At 35.6% G+C, this 6,000-nt stretch overlaps 1 protein-coding gene across 1 annotated transcript in view; it reads left to right on the plus strand.

Annotated features, from left to right (window-relative positions):
- Positions 1-4,653, plus strand: part of ALG6 (ALG6 alpha-1,3-glucosyltransferase) — a 70,927-nt gene extending 66,274 nt beyond the window's left edge. Inside the window, exon 15 of the mRNA NM_013339.4 lies at positions 2,923-4,653. Coding sequence (NP_037471.2) covers positions 2,923-3,120 — 198 coding nt within the window. The 3' untranslated portion in view covers positions 3,121-4,653. The remainder of the gene's footprint in view (positions 1-2,922) is intronic.

The raw sequence follows: 6,000 nt of genomic DNA on the forward strand, positions 1-6,000 counted from the left end.
CAGGAGGGATGAATGCAATTTTAAAGTGGCAGGGCTTTCTTGAGCAAAGAACCAAAGGAAGTAAACTGCAGATAATTGAGGGTAGAACATCCTAGAAGAGAAAAACTGCAAATGCAGTGAACATCATGGAGGTCATAGTGATTGGAGCTGGGTGAGGGAAAGAAATAATAGGACCTAAGATTAGAGAGGTAACAGTGTAGTTTCTTATAATGGGACTAGAATCTGACTTACATTTTTAAAAGGTCCCTATGGTAGCTATGTGGAGAACAGATTGTGGATAATGGAATCCATGAGATGATGGTGCTGTGGACCAGGGTAGCAGTGGAAGTGGTTAGAAATGGTCAGATTTTTTATATATTTTGAAGGTAGAGCCAACAGGAATTGCTGGGGTTGTGAAAGAGAGGTGTTCAAGATGACTCCAAGGTTTTTGGCATACATAACTGAATGGGTGGGGTTGCCATTTACCGAATTGGAGGAAGCATGTTGAAGGAACTTTGTGTGTGGTGGGGGCAGTCGGGAGTATGAGGAGACCAAGAGTTTTTTACATGTTTAGTTTTAGATACCTATTAGATATCCAAGTAGAGATATTAAGAAGTACCTGGATATATGAGTCCAGAGTTTAGCGCAAGCTTGTCCAATCTGCAACTGAAGCTGGCTTTGAATGCAGTGCAATACAAATTCATAAACTTCTTAAAACCTGGAGTTTTTTTGCGATATTTTTAAAAACTCATCAGCTATCGTTAGTGTTGGTGTATTTTATGTGTGGCCCAAGATAATTCTTCTTTTTCCAGTGTGGCCCAGGGAAGCCAAAAGATTGGACAACCCTGGTTTAGGGGAAAGGGCCAGGCTGGAGACGAAGTTGAGTCTTTACATATAGTTGGTAATTAAAGTCATATTACTGGATGACTCACTAAGGGTATGAGTATAGATTAATAAGAGGAATAGGTACGAAGCCCCAGAATGCAGACGTAGGGGACATGAGGAACCAGCAAAGATGTCTAAGAATTAACTGGGTGAGATAGGAGAACCAGAAGAGTATGATGTCATGGAAGCCAAGTGAACGAAGTGTTTCAGTGAGAGGAGAGTGATTTCAAATGCTAATGAGAGAATCAAGTAAGGCAGTAAGAACTGACCATGGGATTTACTACACTGGAGGTCATTATGGATGTTTGACTATAGCAGTTTCATCGTGATTAGGGTGAAAGCCCAATTGGTATGGGTTCACTAGTGAATGGGATGAAGACTGGACACAGCATGTTTATAGGCAACTGTTTTGGGAAACAAGTGTAAATAGGAGCAGACAAATGGGGTAATAGTTGGAGCAAGAGAGGGTTTTTGTTCTGTTTAACACTGACTCAAGATCGTGGTATTATGACATTTCAACCAGTCCCATATTTCTTAAGTTTGAAACTTTTATTTTAAAGATTTCATTCCAGATGTTTGCACTTCCCACTAAGGTTGCCTCAGGAATTTTTCCTTTAACGACACTGGCAGCCTTTGTTTGTATCTGCTTGTAAGCTTTCTTGGCGCCTATCCTCGCTTTTCCATTTGGAATGATCACTGCATTACTCTCTATTTAGATCTTACCAATACTGTCATAATGTAGCCAGCAGTTAAGGCATCCTTTAGGGTTCTGTGTCCCACCCACTTCATGGAAGTCACTACTGTTTCTCACTGCTTTCTACATTTATTTATACTGCTTTTGTATACCTGTGTACTGTGCTAGGGATAAAATGAGTAAGATCTTGCTGGTCTTTGTCTTAAAGGAGCTCACAGTCTAGAGTCACAGTCTGTCCAGTACGGTAGCCACTAGACATATATATAAATTTAAACTTATTAAATTTAAATAAAAATTCTGTTCCTCAGTCACAGTAAGTACATTTCAAATGCCCAATAGCCACATGTGGTTAGCAGCTACTATACTGGAGTGCAGACAAAACATTTTCATTACTGCAGGAAGTTCTATTGTATAGCACATTGGCCTAGAGAAGACCACACTAACTGATGACCACACAACTACAATAAATGTGCTAATTATTTTTACTACTCAGCTTGGTATTTAAGCCAGTGTGACTTTGTGATTTTATTTAACATTCCCCTCAGTAGATGGAAAACTCTTTGAGGCCAGAGGACCTCATTTTCTTTCATGTGCCTTCGTGTGCTTTACTCATTGAAAGCATTTAGCGAATATGAAATGTAATTTTCCATTTGCCATGGAAAACTTTTTCACAGATGGGTTCTCAAGGTTAGCTTAGAATTTTAAAAATTGATACAGAATAGATGTATATATTTTGGGGGTATATGTGATAATTTGATTCATTTATTCATTCATGTAATGCATGAAGATCAAATCGGGGTAACTGGGCTATTTATTACCTTAAAAATATGTCTTTATGCTAGGAACATTCAACTTATTATTTTCTAGCTATTTTAAAATGTACATTAATGTTAACTATATTCAGCCTACTGACCTGCCAAACACTAGGTTTTATTTCTTCTAGCTACCTATACATTTGTACCCATTAGCTTAGAATTTTATATCCTGTTGGACCCCAGGGGATGTTATAAATTTAACCCTGACTAGCATTAATATTTGTCCCAGATACCTTTGTTCAGTGCCTTGGTGGTAGGAAGTATAAGAAGACAGGGGTCCTCAGGTTTTGGCTACACATGGGAATCACTTGGAGAGCTTTAAAAAGTACTGAGGCCTGATTTAATTGGTCTGGGGTGTGATGTGGGCATTGAGATTTTAAAAACTCCTCATATGATTCTAATAGGAAGTCAAAGTTGAGATACACCAGAATAAATTAGACCCTCAACCCTCACCTTTAATTCTGCTCATTTAATAGCTACAAGTCAATGTTTCCAGCACATTTAAATTTCACCTTTTATACTACTCAGTAATCCTTTTTTTCCTTGCAGTTTCTTATCTCAGTCATCACTATGGTGCTTCTGACGTTGATGACTGTCACACTGGATCCTCCTCAGAAACTACCGGACTTGTTTTCTGTATTGGTGTGTTTTGTATCTTGCTTGAACTTCCTGTTCTTCTTGGTATACTTTAACATTATTATTATGTGGGATTCCAAAAGTGGAAGAAATCAGAAGAAAATCAGCTAGCTGTATTCCTAAACAAATTGTTTCCTAAACAAATGTGAAAATGTGAACAGTGCTGAAAGGTTTTGTGAACTTTTTGCTATGTATAAATGAAATTACCATTTTGAGAACCATGGAACCACAGGAAAGGAAATGGTGAAAAGTCATTGTTGTCTACACAAAATAAATGTATATGGAGACCAAAGACCAATGGAGGCTTGTCTAAGTACTGCTTGGCCAAAACATGTGGTTTTATTATTCACAGCTATTCAAGTGGGGAAAAAAGAGAAACATGTCCTTAATCCCATTGTTTACTCAGGAAATGCACTTTTTAAATGTCTTTAAAAAACTGAGAAATATTTCTTGATATTTGCTTTGTCTAAACCTACTTCCTTCATCAGACCATATAGTGAGCTTCATGGGAGAATTGAGCCCCTTCTTTTTAATGGAAATCACTAATTTTGGTATTCAAACTTACATTTTAGAATGCAAGTAGTGTGTATTTCACTGTTTAGAAGTCATATCTTAGGGAATTAAATTTGTGATAATCTTTTTAATTACTGAGAAGGCAATTTAAACTGCTTGAAGTTTGAATATGCCTTATTACACATGCAAATTTGATTGTTTTAACAAGGCAAATAAACCATAATCTTATTTATTTCCAAGAATGCATATTTTAATACAATTAAAAATGAATTTTCCTGAATTTAAATGTAAGCTTTAACTTAACTTTAAGTGGTTTGAGTGAAGTCTTCTAAATTACACATAATCACTGGTTCTAAACTTCCAGAACCATTCTGTTTAATTAAACATTATATTATATATATATTATTATTGACATGGTTCAGGGTTACCACTGCCAGAGCATTGATTCATGTTAACTTCATCCTATTAATACTGTATCACCCTGTATTAGCAGAAGCCAATATTTATTATAGTATTCAACTGGTAAAAATAATACATGATATCCATGTTGCAGTTTCTCATATAAAGATATGTTTTCTTTAGCCTCTGTAATAAAGATAATCATTTTCCCATCAACATTTTTTAAGGAATATATTTCTTCTTTCATAAGATAGCCATTAAACTATATTAAGTGGTGGTATATTTTAATATAGTGCAAATCAAACCACATACAAAAAAAAACTGGTTCTAGACACGGACAGTCACAGGCTGATATAAGAAGGTATGTGTTTCTAAGTCTGGTAAAGGAAGTGGGTTTAGACAAAGCAAAAATCTAGAAAGGTTTCTTTCTCAAAGCAAATGTGCATAAAGACTCAAAGGGCAGGTCAACGCAGAATAGCAGCCTTGAATCACTGCCGAATCAGCAAGAACATTGCTGTCCATGGTCACCATCTGTAATCACTGTGCCCAAATGTCAGCATCTTGGCTGGCTGGTGTAGCTTTATTTTTAAAAATATTTTTTGTAATAGTACACTTGTGTTTAACATAGAATGTTGACTTAGATAAATGATGAGGAAGTTATAAATAATTGGAGTAGCATAACTTTATTATTTGGAAATAAAAGTATTATGTACATATATTAGTAAAATGAAATGCACCTGATTCAAGGTATCATCTAGGTAAATTCTGTAAGGTACCATATAGGTAAATTCTTAAATCATTTTTCAGATGATTTAATCTAATCATACTGAGTTGCACTATAGTTTTTATAGAGACTTGTAGCAGTTATCTTATAAGTATCCCTCGTATCTATTAAAAACCGGTTTAAGAGTTTATATTGAACTTAGAGGGATTAGGTTCCAAAATACCAAAACAAAATACCAGAAACAGAGGCCAGGCACAGCGGTCTGTATTTGAGAGGCTGACACAGGATGATCGCTTGAGACCAGTGAGACACCATCTCAAAAAAAAGCAAAATATCAAAAATATCCAGTGATGAATTATCACAGAAGTAGGCAAGGTCCAAAGCATTTCTCTTAGCTAAACTCAGGGCTATAGGGATGTTTTCATATAAATACATATAGGTTATGCAAAAATATTAAAGATAGATTCCTCACTTTCTTCATTAATATACCTGTCAAAAAATAAGCCCTTCAAAGTTATGTTCAAGTACGTTTTAGATGGAGGAGGTATTTCTGAGAAATGCAGTTTTCTCAGCTGCCAAAAAACTTAGGTTTGCTTCTTAAAATGAAGAGAATAGGGTGTATGTTCATGTATCATATATGAGGCATACAGAAGTCATTTTCCCTTGAGGACTTAGTGGGGGCGAAAAATCCCCAATGTAGCATTCTGTCCAAATGATAAACCACAACAAATTGAGTGAAACATTTACAAAAGTCAGGGCAGCCAAAGGAACCTCTCTGTTCAACAGAGAGAAAGAGATGGATAGGATATAACTAAATAATGGTTAAAGTAACGCAATGGTTTCAAGTCTCAATTGGTCTCTCTTCTGTTATGTTCATTGGAAGATCAGGGCAAGTATATCCCCTGCAACTCCCCCTCCCCTCATATAAACATTAGTTGTGTGTGTGGATCTTTCTGCTTTGTCCTTCATGTGGCCTCCAAGGGTGATAAAGTGAGAGTCATCTGATCTACAATGAAAAGAACTGGGAAATGATTCTCAGCAGACCCAGCTGTTCTAAAAGGCAAAAGCTTAGTATATCAAGAGGTCAAACATACAGTAACTGGTTTAATAGCATTAAGCACATACCTATATAACTTGAATTATATATGAAACCAATCTACTTCTTAACTCTGTATTACCTGACTAACATAGATTACTTTATAAAATGTTTTGGCTTATAACCTAAGGTTAGTTTTCAATGCTATAATAATCCTTTTTTAGTATATTTTTGGTAACATCCTATTATAAGCACTGTATCAGAATAAATTTCTTAAACAGTATGAAGAACATAATTAATGAAGGTAATTTATATAATT

Source organism: Homo sapiens, chromosome 1 (genome assembly GCF_000001405.40).
Source record: "Homo sapiens chromosome 1, GRCh38.p14 Primary Assembly".
NCBI lineage: Eukaryota > Metazoa > Chordata > Mammalia > Primates > Hominidae > Homo > Homo sapiens.